This window comes from Homo sapiens, chromosome 5 (genome assembly GCF_000001405.40).
Source record: "Homo sapiens chromosome 5, GRCh38.p14 Primary Assembly".
In the NCBI taxonomy this organism is placed as follows: domain Eukaryota; kingdom Metazoa; phylum Chordata; class Mammalia; order Primates; family Hominidae; genus Homo; species Homo sapiens.
Window position 1 is genome coordinate 134,131,865 of NC_000005.10, and position 16,957 is coordinate 134,148,821.

At 54.1% G+C, this 16,957-nt stretch overlaps 1 protein-coding gene across 28 annotated transcripts in view, besides 7 other annotated features; it reads left to right on the top strand.

The window, feature by feature from the left end:
* Positions 1–16,346, top strand: part of TCF7 (transcription factor 7) — a 39,993-nt gene extending 23,647 nt beyond the window's left edge. For 6 of the 28 annotated variants that reach the window (NR_033449.3, XM_047417638.1, NM_003202.5 and 3 more), the window contains 7 exons: positions 6,195–6,300; positions 7,087–7,174; positions 10,321–10,440; positions 10,857–11,019; positions 11,129–11,236; positions 11,728–11,776; positions 14,360–16,346. Coding sequence is in view for 27 of the 28 variants with exons in the window: in XM_047417638.1 (XP_047273594.1) it covers positions 6,195–6,300; positions 7,087–7,174; positions 10,321–10,440; positions 10,857–11,019; positions 11,129–11,236; positions 11,728–11,776; positions 14,360–14,439 (714 nt within the window). In the remaining variant the exon portion in view is untranslated. Of the gene's footprint in view, positions 1–6,194; positions 6,301–7,086; positions 7,175–8,931; positions 9,025–10,320; positions 10,441–10,856; positions 11,020–11,128; positions 11,237–11,727; positions 11,777–12,932 lie in introns of those variants that run through there. The other 22 variants (XM_047417640.1, XM_006714682.3, NM_001346450.2 and 19 more) reach the window with 13 other exon arrangements.
* Positions 470–779: an enhancer, noted in NCBI's record as "active region_23129". NCBI's record gives its function as "activates an Ori minimal core promoter by ATAC-STARR-seq in GM12878 lymphoblastoid cells {active_cell/tissue: GM12878}" and the evidence as "EXISTENCE:reporter gene assay evidence [ECO:0000049][PMID:35858748]".
* Positions 6,377–6,446: an enhancer, noted in NCBI's record as "active region_23130". NCBI's record gives its function as "activates an Ori minimal core promoter by ATAC-STARR-seq in GM12878 lymphoblastoid cells {active_cell/tissue: GM12878}" and the evidence as "EXISTENCE:reporter gene assay evidence [ECO:0000049][PMID:35858748]".
* Positions 6,457–6,626: an enhancer, noted in NCBI's record as "active region_23131". NCBI's record gives its function as "activates an Ori minimal core promoter by ATAC-STARR-seq in GM12878 lymphoblastoid cells {active_cell/tissue: GM12878}" and the evidence as "EXISTENCE:reporter gene assay evidence [ECO:0000049][PMID:35858748]".
* Positions 6,797–6,906: an enhancer, noted in NCBI's record as "active region_23132". NCBI's record gives its function as "activates an Ori minimal core promoter by ATAC-STARR-seq in GM12878 lymphoblastoid cells {active_cell/tissue: GM12878}" and the evidence as "EXISTENCE:reporter gene assay evidence [ECO:0000049][PMID:35858748]".
* Positions 7,498–8,475: an enhancer, noted in NCBI's record as "H3K27ac-H3K4me1 hESC enhancer chr5:133475053-133476030 (GRCh37/hg19 assembly coordinates)". NCBI's record gives its function as "activates a minimal SCP1, AML or CMV promoter by ChIP-STARR-seq in naive H9 embryonic stem cells {active_cell/tissue: H9 hESC(naive)}" and the evidence as "EXISTENCE:reporter gene assay evidence [ECO:0000049][PMID:30033119]".
* Positions 13,872–13,951: an enhancer, noted in NCBI's record as "active region_23133". NCBI's record gives its function as "activates an Ori minimal core promoter by ATAC-STARR-seq in GM12878 lymphoblastoid cells {active_cell/tissue: GM12878}" and the evidence as "EXISTENCE:reporter gene assay evidence [ECO:0000049][PMID:35858748]".
* Positions 14,062–14,111: an enhancer, noted in NCBI's record as "active region_23134". NCBI's record gives its function as "activates an Ori minimal core promoter by ATAC-STARR-seq in GM12878 lymphoblastoid cells {active_cell/tissue: GM12878}" and the evidence as "EXISTENCE:reporter gene assay evidence [ECO:0000049][PMID:35858748]".

Consider the following 16,957-nt stretch of genomic DNA (forward strand, 5'->3'; position numbering starts at 1 on the left):
GCCGGAGGAGCAGGCTGACATGGCTGTGCCGTGGTGAGCAGGGGACATGGCTGGGGCCTTGGGGTCATGCTCAACTACTGCCACCAGGCAGGCTGCCAGTGTAGCCAGAACCCCCATCCCAGGGGTCCTAAAACTTGGAGCATTTTTCAGGTTAGGGAAGCACTGGTTCAGGTCACCCTGACCAGCCAGGCTGGGAAAGGGAGAGACTGTGTTTAGAACTGGGACAGTGTCCTGTGCACAATAACCATAGGCCCTTTGCAGTGTCGTGGGTGTCATCCCAGCTCTGCCACTTACTAGCTGTGTGACCTTGTGCCTCAGCTTCCCCATCTGTCAGGTGGGCGTAGTAGTTGTACCTAATATCATAGGTCTATGTTAGGAGTATCTGAGTTCAACTCTGCACGGTGCTCAGAACTCTGCCTCACACATGGGAAATACTCCGCTCACATTAGCACATGCTTTTCTCTAGGCCTGAAGCATTTTTTTGCCTGGCACATAATAGGAGCTCATAAATACACCCTGACCAAATGGTACCAATAGCGACCAGCTGAGCATCCTGATCTCTTGGGGGGCTGTTTCTGCTGGCACAGTCCCCTGCCACTGGGAGGCGTTCTTGGGAGGGCCTGAACAGGCCTCACCTATCCCCTACCCCCCACAGGCTTGAGGCCAGAGGAAACAGCAACTTTCTTCGCTGGGAAAGTGTTGTGGGGCTCAAGCATTTGGGGGTTTTCAGAGTCAACCGTCAGAGGCGAGGGAGTTTCTCTGCTGGCGGTGGCAAGGGCTGTCAGCGTGCACACAGCCTGCGAGCAGACCGCTGCGGTCTACAGGGAAAATGCCGACTGTGTTTATTTTTCACCTGAGCCTGCAGGAAGTTGGGGGGTGCGGGTTGGGGGGGTGGTGAAGGGGGATGCCAAGCCAGGCCCAAGCTTGACTTCAGAACAGAGGAGAACTACCTCAGGAGTCTCCGTTTCCATCTCCTCCTGCTTGGCCCTGCCTGGCTGTCTTCTGGGCTCCTGTCTGGTAAACAAGAAGGCACGCAGGAGCACCCGAATGAGGAATTCCTAGCCATGGGCTAAGGAAATAGTCCAGAAGGGCGAGGAGCCCCTGTGGGACAGTGGACTGGAGTGGTCTGAGGAAGTCTTTGAGCAGTAAGAGCAATGCAGTGGCAGGAAGGACCACTTTTGCTGGGAGTGAGCCCTGTCACCAGGCATCCAGTAGAAGGCTGGACAGGCACTGGTGGGACAGAGATGACTCTCAGGGTAGCCCTGGGGTGTCTGGGATGGTGGGGGAGACAGAGGGGCAAAGGCAAAGAGCATGGGTCTGGGGTTTGCTGATCAAGCAGTTTGGACTGCTGGTGAGGCATCAATGCATTTAAACATCCCAGCATGCTTTGAGCACTTACTGTGCACCCAGCTCTAGGTTTGGTACTCTGCCCTCAGAGGATGAGGGCAAGAGAGATGAAGGTGTGCCATTGAAATGCTCGGGGCCTGGTGGGGACAATCACCCTAGGCCTGCCTCTTTCCATTGAGGGCTGGGCACAGTCACCATCAGGGAGAGCAGGGGAGGGGGGCTTCAGTCACCAGGCTCCCCATATACATGCCAGGCCCCAGGTGACCCCACCCTGTTGTCTAGGCAGCCTGGCCCTGAGACAGCCTTGTGCTGAGGCCCTGGAGTGGGACGTTCCACTGGGCGAGGGGGACATGGGTGCCAGGCCCTGTGCTAGACGGTTTCCCCTGGCTCCTACCACCGGGCGCAAAGCGGGCTGGGGATTGAGGCTAAGAGGCAGCCTGCATGAATGTGGGAGGGACTGGCCAGGCCCTTGATGCTCTGCCCTGGAGCCCTGGCCACCCCAGGACCTCCAGCTGCCAGTGAGTTCTCTGCCCCACCCCTGCCCATCCAGCACTTCTCCTGTGGTCTGACAGTAGACTCCTGTTTAGTGCGTTTTTTCCCAGTTCCCAAGGAAGGCTGATAGACAGAATGAGCCCACAGCCTGCCAGGCAACACCCCGCAGCACTGCCCATCACATGCATATGTACCAGGCCAGCAGCTGTAGACTGGGCTGGATTCTTTTGGAGGTTTCCTAGGCCCAGCCTGAGCTGTGCTGCAACCTGGGGCTCAGGTGGCAAAGCTGGACCTGGGCCAGGCCCAGCATGGCCAAGGAGGGTCAGCTCTGGCCTCCCCACTCCTGGCAGGAGGGCTCTCCATGGCTTCCTGGCCAAAACTCCTGTGGGTAGCTTCTCAGTAAACCACCTACTCCCAGGGGAAGGGTAGTTTACTGAGAACCTCACCATGGAGCCATGCTCTCACTACCTTGGGGCAGAGCCCCAACTCTGGGCAGAGCAGAGACTCTGGGACTGTCTTCCAAGAGCTGGCACCGTGGACCCCTGGCTCAGCTCCTTAGGCTTCCCTGCCTATTCTGCTAGCCAGGCGCTCGGTCCATCCCAAGGGTCAAAGAGCCAGAGCCAAGGCTGGATGGCAAGGCCTCCTCTGAAGCAGGAGCTTAGACTCGAAAGCCCCCCATGCTCCAGGCATTTGTGCCCTAAGGTGGTGAATGGTGGAATGCTTTCTGGCAGGATCCAATGTTCCTGAAGGAGTAGGCCCTGAGGCTCAGTCTCCGTGCCCTCAGCTGTCACGAGGCCTGGTCAGGGCTGATGTTGCCTGGCTGGCTGGTGTTATTCTAGGAACCTGTTAGGATAAAAACACCCCAGGGGTTTCCAGGAAACTTCCTACTTTAACAGGCCCTTGGCTCCTTCTCCCTGGAACTTTAGGACAGAGGAGAACTTTTGCATCTGTGACCAATGAGGTGAGTAGGACTGGTATTCTCATCTCCGTTTTACAAGGAGAGAAAATGCAGCCCCAGAGAAGGATGAGACTGGCCCAGGATCCTCCAATAAAAGGTCAGTGAAAAGGTCAGCAAGCCTAGAGCCAGGCTTCCCAACCTACCTCACATCATGGCACACTTTCAGCATTATCACTGGAGTAAATGAAGAAGGATGCTGGAGGCTAAAGCACCCATGGGAAGCCCCAGGCATTGTGAACAAGGAAGAGAGTAGAAGGTGCTGGGGTTACAGAGGGAGCAGGAGCCAGATCACGTAGAGCTTTACTTATTTGAGACAGCATCTCACTCTGTCACCCAGGCTGGAGTGCAGTGGCACAATCACGGCTCACTGCAGCCTCGATCTCCAGGGCTCCAATGATCCTCCTCCCTCAACCTTCTGAGTAGCTGAGGCTACAGGCATGCACCACCATGCCCAGCTAGTTATTTTTATTTTATTTTTAGTAGAGACAAGGTCTCGCTATGTTGCCCAGGCTGGTCTTGAACTCCTGACCTAAAGCAGTCCTCCTCCCTCAGCCTCCCAAAGTGCTGGGATTACAGGCATGAAGCCACTGCGCCCAGCCCACAGAGAATTTTGTAGGCCCCAGGTCAGGAGATACCGTGGGAAGCCACTGGAAGCTTTAGGCAGAAGTGACACGATCTGATTCCTGTTGCTGCTGGATTGAGGACTGGCGGAGGGGCAGGAGAGAAGCATGGGTCTAAGGAGGGAGCTGCTGCAGTCATCCAGGTGCAAAGTGATGGTGGCTTGGACTGGGTGCGGGCAAGGAGGAAGTGGTGGGATTCTAGACACATTTTGAAGGTAGAGCATTAGGATTTGCTGACAAATTGGATATGGAGTATCAGAGAAAAAGGAGTCAAGGATGACTCCAAGATCTTTAGTCTGAGCAGCTGAAAGGATGGAGTTACCATTAACTGGGTAAGAAGACAGGGAGGAGCGTTTGGGGCAGGAAGTCAGAGGTTCCGATCTGGATATGTTGAGTTTAGGGGGCATTTCAGACCACCAAGTAGAGTTGAGTAAGCATTTGGAAAGTAGAGTTCCTAGAAGTGGGGCTGGAGAAGAAATGTGGAGTCATCACATGAAGATGTTTAAAGCTGTAAACCCAGATGAGAGGAAGATGGGAGCCAGAAACAAGGTCAGGAAGGAGTGGCCCATGAAGCTGGAGGAATATCAGGCAGTGTGGCATTCTGCAAGCCAAGTGAAGAAACTCTTTCAAGGAAGTGGGAGAAACCAATTGTGTCTGATGCTGCAGAGAGGTTGGATAAAATGAAGACTGAGAATTGACCATTGAGTTCAGGATGGTGGAAGTCACTGGGACTTTGACAAGAGTCATCTAGTGGAGGGATGGGGCAAGAGACTGTCTGGCTGGGTTGAAGGGAGAATGAGGGCTGAGAACTAGGGGCAGTGAATGGGGACAGGTCTGCTGAGGTTTCTGTAAAAGGGAGTGAGACAGGAGGTGGTAGCTGGGGGAGGATTTAGAGATGGGAGAAATGGCAGCCTGTTTGTACCCTGATGGGAATGAGACAGGGTTTACAAAGTGCATGACACAGTCCCTGGCATGTGGCAGGTACCAGATACCTGAAGGAGTGCACATGTGTCCACATACCCTGCAGCTGCCCCAGCCTCTCTTCTTCCTTGCTAGCCACCTATAGGGACATCAGCCCCTGTCTGCCTGAGGAAAGGAGGAAGCCTGTGAAGCCCTGTTATGTAAGGCTCCTCCCGGTGGGCAGATGGATGAGCAGGGCCCTGACAGGTGGCAGTGTCAGCACCTTCCCCAAGACCTGAGGGGAAGGGTGAAGGCTGTAGCCCGGAGGCAGGAATGTGAGGAAAGATGCCAGCAACAGGGCTGTTGCTGGCAGGTGTGGGAGCCTGTGCCCAGCTGGGAGCTTCATGTCTTGGCTACAGCAGGGCTTATACCCAGCCTTCCATCTAGGCTTGCCCTGGGCTTCCAATAACCAAGTGCCGAGGGACTGTGCCAGGCCTCCTCACCATGAGCCACCCTTCTCCAGGCCTGGTAATAAAGGGGCCATGAACCCTATTCACTACTAGGAGAGATGCCTGAAGCTCTTAAGGAGTCTGGCTAAATTCACCCAGTCAGGAATTGCACTCACAGAGTGGGGACGAACCCAGGCCACAGCCCCTCATTACTGACTTGCTCCAAAGATGTCCCGTTTCCTCTGTGCCAGGAGTCAGAGATCACTCATCCATGCTCCCAGCCAACAGCATCCTTGCAAACGGGCTTTTCAAAGTGGGAAGTTGAACCTTGGTTGCAGATGATGTCTCCAGGGCCCTGACCCGTGCAGATGTGCACTGAGGATACTGTAGAGCTGGGCCTTGGCCCTGGCAGTGACTCCCTGCAGCCAGGTCTTCCTGGGGAGCCCCTCCTTCCAGCCTGCTGACTGAATCGTCTCTTGATAGAGCAATGCAACTAGTGTTAAGAGTCTTGGCTGGGCGCAGTTGGCTCACGCCTGTAATCCCAGCACTCTGGGAGGCCGAGGCAGGTGGATCACTTGAGGTCAGGAGTTTGAGACCAGCCTGGTCAACATGGCGAAACCCCATCTCTACTAAAAATACAAAAATTAGCCGGGTGTGGTGGCGGGTGCCTGTAATTCCAGCTACTCGGGAAGCTGAGTCAGGAGAATCGCTTAAACTGCCAGGAGGCGGAGGTTGCAGTGAGCCGAGATCGCGCCACTGTACTCCAGCCTGGGCCACAGAGTGAGACTCTGTCTCAAAAAAAAAAAAAAAAAAAAAACAGAGAAAAAAGAAAAGTAAGAGTCCTGCGGTGCTGAGGAAACAGGAAGTACGGGGGCTGGGCAAGGATGGCCCTGGAGGAAGCCAGGCCCCATCTCCCCTGATTTAGGGGATTGAGGAGGGCCCTTCCCTGTGTCAGAAAATCCTGTTAGGCCTGAGCTAAGACAAATGGTCAGACTCAGAATCCCCAGACTGGGGGCTAGAAGATGAGGAAAGATAGCTGTGCTTCTTCCAGGGTGTGCTGGGGTAGGCCTGGGTCCTCAGGCCATGCCCTGCTTTAGGGGGCTGGAGGCTATAAGCAACCTCCCAGACAAGCCAAACCTGAGATGAGGAGGCCAATAAGGGTTTTCTGGACAGGGGAGACGCACCTCCAGGAATTGAGTGCCCAGAAAGACCAAGAGGCTTTCTAGGGGGTGGGACTGCTTGGGCAAAGTCTTGGGGGCTAGTGGGCGGGGTACTGGACACTGTGACTTGAGTGGTACCCCCTTCGCTGAGGCCTGTGGTTTTGGCCACCACTTTTCTTTGACAGCTGGGCTTCCTGTATACCCTCATCCCAGTGTCTTCCTCCCTCAGGACTCGCCACACTCACCCACCCTCCTTCTCATTTTTCAGCACAAGGCCAATCAGCCCCCCCACGGTGTCCCCCAACTCTCTCTCTACGAACATTTCAACAGCCCACATCCCACCCCTGCACCTGCGGACATCAGCCAGAAGCAAGGTACAAGCCTGGGATGGGGAGGGGCCCAGTGAAACCAGAGCCTAAGGGCCAAGACCCCAGCTTCTGAGACCAGGTAGCTGGGTCCATTTTATAACTGGAGAACCTGGGGCTGTGCAAACTAAGGGCCCAAAGAAAATACCAGAAAGATGGACTGGGGGTATAAGGGCATCAGAAAACTGGAAAAGGTGGTGCTAGGTCAAAATGTGAAGGCTTCAGGTTGAAGCCTAAATCCCATGGGTGACCCCGCTGCCAGTATGGCAGCATTGCTGAGAACTGTAAAACTGTAGCCTTTCCTCCTCTCAGTGAGAAAATGGAAAGTGGTGGTTGTGATGGCTGATTCACCTCAGCCTCAGGCAAAGTCATTCTGAAATCCCTCATTGTCAGCTGTGGGAAACCTGCTGACTCAACCCTGGGGGGCAGGTGGAGCCTTGGCTCCCCAGGCTGGGCTCCCCTAGACCAGGGGCCTGCCTCCTGCCCAGAAAGCTAGGCTGGAGTCCCCCGAGCAGAGATGCCCCAATGCCTCCATGCCTGAGTGACTTCAGCTCTGCCTACTGGCCCCCTAATGTCTTAGGCAAGTCACCCCAGCCCTCTGCCCTGGGTTCCCTTGTCTGTCAAAGGGGCACTATTATCACACTGGGATCCTCCTGAATAAACTAGTTTATGTCTGGTCCTCTAGCAAAGCTGGTGGGATCTTAAGGCCCCTGTAGGAGGTTCTAGGATGCAGTAACTGCTGATATGGCCTGCCAGGTCAGGCTAGCCCACTCACTCAGCTTCTCTCCTCTGCAGTTCACAGGCCTCTGCAGACCCCTGACCTCTCTGGCTTCTACTCCCTGACCTCAGGCAGCATGGGGCAGCTCCCCCACACTGTGAGCTGGTGAGTGTGGGCCCAATGGGAAAGGGGTACCGTGTGCTGGTCAGACCAAGACCTGCCTGCCCTTCCATTTCCTCCTCCATCCCTCTTGGCTGGCCACCCTGCTGCCAGCTCTGTTTAGATGCCAGGGGCTGGCCAGCAACTCTGTCCTAACCTGGCTCTGAGCTAGGGGTCCTCATGTACCCCGGCCTGCATTCCCCAGGGAGCCTGACATACTCCCTTTGGAGAGGCAGGAGAGCTGGTCCCTGGTCCCAGCCCTGTCTCCCTCAGTGTCCAAGAGATCCCCTTAGATGGGAGAACTCTGGGCTGCTAAGGGACCTCCAGGGCCATATGAGTAACTGAGGAAGAAAGGTGGGCCCGAGCAGGGAGGGGACAGCATGAGTGGCTACCAGAGAGGCTGCTGCTTCTCAGCTCACTGGCCTCAGTGCCTACTGCTTTTGGTCCTTTCCTTGGCTGAGCTGCTTGAGGGGCAGTGTCCCTCCCTGCCCCTGTGGTGCCTGCTTAAGCCCAAGCCTCTGACCAGCCTGCTTGGAGATTCTTAAGGCTGGACCAGGAAAAGGAAGCCTGGCCCCCTAAGCCAGTAGGCCTGACTATGGGCCAAAGGGCCTGTCCTCAGCTGGAGTTGGGCCTTGGCAGGCTACTTGGCCCTTTACTCATCAACGATAGTTTGAGCTGCGCAGGTCTCTAGCCTATTTCAGAGAGCTGGGCTGTGGCAGTCACCCAACAGCAGGAAAACTTGGCTCCCCAAGGAGATCGGGCAGGCCAGAGGCCCAACCTGTGGCCCACTTGCCCTTTACCCATGGTCAGCACCCTCCTCCGTTCCAGCTTCTCCTTGGACAATCCATTCTGAATACAAATTAAGACTACTCCCATGAATACCCCTAGGATCAAAGCGTGGCAAGATGCTCAAGAGCCCAGCCTTACTGGACTAGACCAGGGTTCCGTGGATGCAAATCTGTAGGCCAGCCTTTCAAAAGCATCCCCTAGGCCAGCAGTGCTGAAGACCAAGAGAGTTGAGCCTACAGCAGATTTTACCCACCAAGGCTGTAAGGAGGGGACTTCAGGCAGCCCTGTGCTCTCGGCTTCCACCCGGTGGCACTTGGCTGTGAGGAAAGAAGTAGGGGTATTTAAGCCATCTCTCCACTGAGCCCTATTGTGTGCCGGGCAGGGTTCTGGGCACCAGGGAAGTCGGCACTGCTGAAGCCAACTGATCGTTAGGTCCCTGCCCTCTCAGAACTCAGTCTACCTCGTGGGCAACCCAGGCAAAAAACCAGACAGTTACAGGGCACTGTTGGTAGTGCTCTAGTTAGGGACTGTAGGAGCCCAGAGAGGTACCTCATCCAGCTTGGAATCTCAGGGATTTGAGGAGGAAGGGTCACTTAGCTAAGGAAGACCTGAAGGATGACCAGGAATTGAAGCAGGCAAAGTGGTGCAAAACAATCCAGTGTTAACAGTGGCTGCAATGGCCCCAGGACAGATATCAGCCCTATACCGTCAAAGAAACAGAAGCAGGCTGGAGGGGCCCAGGGGCCTGCTAAGCTGGGTCCCAGGAGAAGGATACCATTTCCATCCCTCAAGCACCCATACAAGTTTATAGAGGGAAACCGCACAAGCTGCCCTCTGGTGGCAGATGCTTGAAATTCCAGCAGAGGCCCATCTGTCTCACAGGATGGGTCAAGGCCTGCCTAGCAAGGTAGGGAAGTCTTTCCTCGTGTCTGGCCAGCAGCCAGACTGCTAACAGCTATCTCTCCCAACCACAGGCCCAGCCCTCCTCTCTACCCCCTGTCCCCTTCCTGCGGATATAGACAGCACTTCCCTGCCCCCACTGCAGCCCCTGGCGCCCCCTACCCCAGGTGAGTCCCCTACACTGCAGCTAGGCTCCTGCTTCCTGTTGCCCAGGCTTCAGAGCCCACACAAGGCCATGCCCAGGCCAGTGCTTGCCCTGTGTTAGTCGTTTGTCCATCTGTCCGTCTGTCATTTTGCAGCCCCCTGCTGTCCTGTGCCTGAGAATGAAGCTAGTGCAAGTGCCAAGAGGCCTCAGCCTGGGCCACACCGTGCAGCAGAGCACCACAGAGGCCAGGACAGTACAGGCATATGTGGCTCAGCCCGTGTGCAGATGTGTGTGCACTCACCTCTGTTCTTCATCCCTACTTAGAAGGACTCTCCTGGGCATCCCCTGAGCTTTGCCCAAGCTGAGACAGCACCTTTTACCTAAGTCCCCAACCTCTGACCCTTAGGGGCTGCTGGCTCAGGGATAATACCTGTGCAAGCAGTAAGGGGCAGAATGGTCTCCACAGAATAGCAAGAAAGTGAAGTGGGAGGTGTGTGTACATGGATCCCTTCACTTAGGTCACTCCTTCAGTGACAGACTCAGTGCAAATATGCAATGGCAGGGGATTCCACAGACATTTGCTGCCCACTGGAGCTCACAGCCCAGTATAGCAAGTGTAGACATGGCACCGGCAGCTTAATGGGCCAGCTGAGTGATGGGGAAGCCCCAAGGAGACCTCACCAGGCCTGATGGGTCAGGGAGAGCTTCGCGGAAAGAGTAATAGATCTTTTGCGAGAAGAAAACAAGGGAACAGCCATAACTGGGGCTGCCGGGGAACGGAGAGGGACAGGAAGCAGAGGAGAAGAGAAGGGGCTAGCAACAGCAGCAGGATGCTCATGCAGGGCTGTGCAGGCCCTTGGGAGCAGCCTGGGTTCTATTCTTTGGACGCTGGGGGAATTTCAGCCGAAGCAGGCCAGGAACATTCAGGTGTCTCTAATGGTTACTCTGGCTATTGTGTGGAGAGAGGCCTGGAAGGGTCAAGCAGGAGAGGGATGAGGCCTCACAGGGCAGCCACAGGCTCCTGAGGCTGGGTTGGTAGGGGAAGGACGTGAGAAGGGGACAGATTCAAAAGCTACTTGGGACCTATGTAGTAACCATCTGAATGGCAATCTATGTAGATTTTTGCAGTGTGTCTGTGTAGTGTGCTGGGAGCAGGTATTTGTATTTATCTCTGTGTACTTATGTCTAGGCCAGTAGGATAGAGTATCTATCTGTTCACCTGTGTCCTCAAGTTATGTATTATGCAGGGGCCTCTGTGTGTGTCCAAAGGTCTGGCCCATAATTCTTGGCTCAGTGTTAACTTTCTTCCTGCCTCCAGGTTCACCCACCCATCCTTGATGCTAGGTTCTGGTGTACCTGGTCACCCAGCAGCCATCCCCCACCCGGCCATTGTGCCCCCCTCAGGGAAGCAGGAGCTGCAGCCCTTCGACCGCAACCTGTGAGTGAAAAGACAATGATGGCAGGGGGTGTGTCAGTCAGGATACACATGCCTCCCCACCAGGCCTGAGGACTGCCACGAGGTCCCTGCCTAAGCTGTTTCGTGCCTCTGGCTATGTTTTTGATCCTCAGAAGTAGGAGGGGGTGGGTGGGATGGGGAACAAGGATTTTTCTGAGCCAACAGAGGAGGGGCTCAGAAGTCCTTAACACATGCTTTTCCCACTTGTCTGTAGTGTTCCTATAAGGAACAGTTACTTAGCTGTCTGCTCACCCATTTGGGGGCAGCTAGGAAAGATTCCACTTAGAAAACTCTGGTATCATACACTTAGGCACACTCTAGGCCCACGCTAGAGGAGGAGGCTGCAATTAGGTGGGCACTCGGGGGGCTCCTGAACAATCTGGATTTGTGCCCCTCAGGAAGACACAAGCAGAGTCCAAGGCAGAGAAGGAGGCCAAGAAGCCAACCATCAAGAAGCCCCTCAATGCCTTCATGCTGTACATGAAGGAGATGAGAGCCAAGGTCATTGCAGAGTGCACACTTAAGGAGAGCGCTGCCATCAACCAGATCCTGGGCCGCAGGGTGAGACCATGGGCAGGTGGGCTGGCAGGGATGCTCCCCGACCATCTTCAGCCTGGTGCAGCCTGCTGACTCCCTGATGCACCCCACCTGCCCCTCTTCCCTGTTGCAGTGGCACGCGCTGTCGCGAGAAGAGCAGGCCAAGTACTATGAGCTGGCCCGCAAGGAGAGGCAGCTGCACATGCAGCTATACCCAGGCTGGTCAGCGCGGGACAACTACGTGAGTGCCTAGTGACACACAGCAGGGGTGGGCAGGGGACCCTTTGAGATACCATGCCCCAGGCCACAATCTCAGTAAGGAACGCAGAACTACTGTCCTGAAGGCACCGATGAGGAAGGGCACGGAGGGTCCAAGGCCTCCCATGGCTGCCTCAGAAGAGGACAAGCCCACATCCTATTCTCCACTCCAGAATATGCTCACACATGAGCTGTTACCCAACATTTGATTGGGCCACATGGGCAGAAGGGGAGAAAGGGGTCTGGAAGTCACCTCCTTCCATTCAAACTGGAGACCAGATTGGGGTGAGGGAAGAGCTTCTAAATGCACTCCATAGCAGCCTAGCAAGACCAGCAATCAAGAAACACCAGCACCCCAAGGTAGGAGGGGCCTGTACGCCCAGAATCCCAGGGTTACCCAAGCTAGGCAGCAGGCTGTGGGTATCCCAATGTCTGCCTCCCAGATCTGAGCATCCCTCCTTTTGTTCCCTGCAGGGGAAGAAGAAGAGGCGGTCGAGGGAAAAGCACCAAGAATCCACCACAGGTGAGACCTTCTCTCAGCAGCAGTGGAGGCTCCTCTCCATGTCCCCATTTCAAGAGCAGCCCTCCTCTGACCCAAAGGGAGGAACGCGGTACCCAGCTAGGAGCCTTCAGGGCCTGGGGCCTATGAAAACAAGGCCTGCATCTCACAAGTCAAATTCCCATGCAAGAAACAGCTATATTATACTAAGTCCCAGGGAAACCCAGCAGAACTGGCTTCTGCTGGGTAGAATTGGAGTAGATGGTGCGTTCCTCTGCCTTGCACCCACTACCTTTGCTAGCTCCACTCACCAGAGAAACCAGCAAAGAACTGACTGTATGGTTTGATGCTTAGCCCAAACAATGTCCTGGCTAGTTCTGCTGAGACTGGGAGAGGCTGAGCTAGGCCCCATGACTAGGCCCAGTAGACACACAGCCTACTGGCTGGAGCCTGGCAATTTATCACCCCCACTTCAACATTTTTCATGGCAGTGCAAAGTGCTCTATGTAGAGAAGCCCACACCCTGCTGCAGGCCTCCTTCCTAAGGGTGAATTCCTGCCTCTCTGGTAACTGAGACTCCACATCCCTGACCACCTCAGCCGTGCTGTCCCCACACAGGGAAGCTGGAGGCTAGGACTGGGACAGAGCAGGGCAGAGTTCCTAGCCCTTTTTCCAAGGCAAAGAATAGGCCCTTCCTTCCATCTGCAAGTGTGTAGAACAGCATAAGGTATAGCCTTCAGCCTTATCCCTTGAAGGAATGTAGGTCAAGAATGAAGAAAAACTGGATAAAATGGGTAGGGAGTTGGGGAGGAGGTGGGTGGCCCTAGGGCATAAAAGGCTGGATCTCCATGGTCTTCCTTGGGCCCCTCTGCAGCCTCCATGCTGCAAGGGCCCCACAAGCCACAGAGATGAGCCAGATTGACAGGACTCCCTCCCTCCCATTCTTCCCACTGCCTCTACTGCGTACCTGGGTGCCCACCTTTCCTGATATCTTGGCTCTGGGCTCTTGGGCTCCCACTGGGGCTGGCTGTGCCATGGAGAGGCCCACTCTGCCTATGGGGGCTGTAGGGTGTCTATAACTGGCTAACACTGATGTTACCTCTTCTTTCTGGGCCCTGCTCTGCCCCGCTGCCTGCTCGCCCTCTGCCCTGCTCTACCCCTCTGGCATGGCTGTGAGCAGACCCTGGCTCGCCTAAGAAATGCCGTGCTCGCTTTGGCCTCAACCAGCAGACGGATTGGTGTGGTCCGTGCAGGTGGGTTTGTCCCCACCATCGTTCTCCCTTTGCTTTAAGCTGCTTCCCTGACTCTGCACATGTTCCACTGGGCCTGCAGCCCACTCCTTTGGCCCCTCAGCCCACTAGCATACTCAGCAGATTGGGAGCCCAGGCCTCCTGAGAATAGTAGTAAATACTGAACACAGCGCGTGGAGAAGACCACTTGGGTCTAAGTGCAGGAGGATTGGAGAGAAAGACACAGAATGTTCCAGAAAGGAAGGACAGACTCAAGAAGGCAGCTCTGATGCCAGTGGGCCTAGCAGGTCCTCAGCAAACAGACAGCTCAGCCACCACTAAGGGGGCCTGGAGCCCATTCTACCAGGCCTCAAAGTCATTATGGCCCATGGGCTCCCTCACTTCCTCTTCAAGATGGGATCCCTGCCTGTACCATCCTGAGCCCTTAATCTGAAAAAGCAAGGTGACAACAACACAGAACCATCTGGTTGCCAGGTAGCCTTATGACTTGCTATCTTGTACCTACTGATACCAAAGGGCTGGAGAGGCTGGGGGAGAGGACCCAGGGGGTACCCTGGGCTGTCTGAGGGAAAGGGCTCATGTGTTTCACCATACAACAGAGAAATACTTGTGGGTGTGACAAGGTTTACCCAACAAGTGGTTAAAGTTTCCTCAGTCAGTTTCAGGCCAGGCCTGGCAGGGCTAAGATAGAGGGTACTCCAGGCAGTAAGGCCACTGGCTCTAAGGAACACTTGTCCAGCCTCTCAGTGTACCCACCACACTCCCTGTCCAAGGGCAAGGAGGAGTTTGGGGTGTGTCTGTGTATCCACATACATATGCACGGTGGGAAACAACCCTGTCTTCAGGGGAAGTTCTATTCCATTCATTCCATCAGAGACAAACTGGCCCAGAGAACTCAAGGATGGTAATGGACAAGAGTCACTGTCCATGTCTTCTTCCTCTAGCCCAGCTTGAGGACTGGGATGGCTGGGCAAGGAAGCCATAGGCATTGCGGCCCCTTGCCTTGGTGCAGATGTGAGTCCCACAAACACATCTGGAGAAGCTCAAAGGCCGGGACTGGGAGATGACTCCCTTGGAAGACAGGAGAGATGACTCCCTTGGAAGACAGATGACAGCCCATAGGCCTAGTGACAAAAGGCCCCTTTGCCACCTTGTGGCTGTTCTGGGAACTGCACCTGTCCTAGGTCTGGGCCAGACCAAGCAGAATGGCAGTCTGAGGACACTGACTTACCACCCAAGTCCCAGGAAGAGAGGACAAGGAATCAGCCAGGCCTGTGCAAAGGCAGCATTTTTTGGTTGTGGTGTATGACTATGAATTCACCCTCTGTTTACAGATAACTCTCTTCACTATTCCTAGGAGGAAAAAGAAATGCATTCGGTACTTACCCGGAGAAGGCCGCTGCCCCAGCCCCGTTCCTTCCGATGACAGTGCTCTAGGCTGCCCCGGGTCCCCAGCTCCCCAGGACTCACCCTCATACCATCTGCTGCCCCGCTTCCCCACAGAACTGCTTACTAGCCCTGCGGAGCCGGCACCTACATCCCCAGGTCTCTCCACTGCTCTCAGCCTCCCAACCCCAGGGCCCCCACAGGCCCCCCGCAGCACCCTGCAGAGCACACAGGTACAGCAACAGGAATCTCAGAGACAGGTGGCCTAGCAGGCACAGGACACCTGGCCGCCTCCAGGAGCCTACCCCCTGAAAGTGACAGAGACCCAGATCTCATGGAAACTGGCCAGGGGTCCTGTTAACGTCATCTCAGGGTCCAGACCCTGAAGATTTCAGAGGCTGCAGGACTTCTGCCTGAACCTGGGGTCATCGATTCAAACTGCTCCAAGTGGTGGGAATCAGATCTGTCTTGATGTGTCATCTAATTAAGGGAATCCCTTGTACCTATGGCTGCCTGCATCTATTCTTTGTACCATCTGTCTTGCCAGCCAGAAGCCTCTGCCTCCCTAGCTTTTCTGCTATAGGTCAGAGATGGGCTGAACTGAGCCTAGCTACCTTCTCTACCCATCTCCCCCATCCCCCACTGCCACACCCTCCCCATTCAGACACTTCATGGACCAAGAATGAGCTGGTTTGTCAAACAACATGTGAGCATGGTCACAAGCACAAAGCTCAAGATGACAGCTCTTCTAAGGAAATGGAGAAGCTCTGTTTATAAAAACAAAAACAAAACCAGCTGCTACTCATAAGTTGGACCAGAGGAAGCCCCTTACTATGATCTCAGGAGCTTGCAAGAAGCAGGAAGGGGAATGGAATAGGTTAAGTTTAGGCCTATCAACCTAAGCAACAGAAATAATCTGACACTACCTTATCAGGCAAATTGGGGAGGGGAGGGTGTATCTAGCTCTAGTTCAAATTATTTGGAAGTGTTCCCTGAGAAACCCACCAGCCTAAGAAGCTCTGGCCCCAGGCTTGTCACTAGCAGCTGCAGTCAACAGTTCAAAGAAGTCATGGCCCAAATCCAGTGTGCACCCCTCCCCATTCACAGAGCCTTTTTCACAATTCCATTTCCAGTTCATCTATGGCAGTCCAGCCAGCTCCTGGGCAGCTTGAGAGGGCAAACCCAAAACCTCATGACAGCCAGAGCCTGTCTTTCAGCATTCAGTCCGCCTGGCCGGCTCCAGTTTCCCCATGGGGCTGCGGGACAGAGGACCATTACAACTAGATCAAGGAGCCCAGAAAACCTCCAGTAGTGGACAACAGGTTTTCACCATAGCCTACGTTAACCCATTTTTGAGCCAAGCTTCAACCCTCAGCCTTGAAAAACAAGTCTTTAATTTAATTTTTGTTTTTTGCCTAAATCCAAAGAAAAAGGGCTGCCGGGCCAGGCGCGGTGGCTCACGCCTGTAATCCCAGCACTTTGGCAGGCCGAGGCAGGTGGATCACCTGACGTCAGTAGTTTGAGACCAGCCTGGCCAACATGGTGAAACCCTGTATCTACTAAAAATACAAAAATTAGCCGGACGTGGTGGTGCGCGCATGTAATCCCAGCTACTCGGGAGGCTGAGGCGGAAGAATCACTTGAACCCGGGAGGCGGAGGTTCCAGTGAGCCGAGATGGCGCTATTGCACTCCAGTCTGGGTAACAGGGAGACTGCATCTCAAAAAAAAAAAAAAAAAAAAAAAAGGGCTGTCCATGTATTCACACACCCCTCAAAAAAAGCCTTTAGTTCCTACTTTAGCCACTGGTTTCTCAGAATCCAAAGATCACATATTCTAGTGTAACACTGCAAGAAGTCTTGAGAAAAAGATTATTGTAGTGTTCAAAATATTTTTGTATTGTTAATGCATCATCATAGAAAAACTTTTAAACATGAGAATAAAGATACTTTTTACTGGGTTTGTTTTTCAAAGCCTGACCCTGAGGAATAAGCTGTTTCAGTAACAGAGCATGATATTCTTTCCTTTCCTTCTCCACAGTCAGGAAACTTGGAGTTTGTTTCCTATGGTACATATGTTCCCAAACCTCCAGCCTGTAGAAACCAGGGATTACACTTGTCATCTCCCCTAAAGGGGTGTGGGCCCTGCCTGCCTCACCTGAGAGCTATGCCTATACTCCCATTCCAAGCTTTGCTCTTAACCCCACAATGATGCAGGCCAGCCTGCTCCCCAGTGCTCATATAAGAATAAATGAGTTGCCAACTGCCGTCCATAAAGGCTGACAAGACAATTCAACCTGAAATAGGTACACATGACCACTAGGCTCCATTTTCCTCTGAGGGCAGAGAGAAAAGAAAACATTCCACAAGTGCATATCCTATTTCAAGGAAAACAAGAGCAAACGAGTCTTTTATAACCTATTAGCACCACAAAATCCTAAAGGAGGATTTTTTAATAGCACCCCTTCCTCCCAAAGACTGCATCTTTTTTTTTAATTATTATTATTATACTTTACGTTTTAGGGTACATGTGCACAATGCGCAGGTTAGTTACATATGTATACATGTGCCG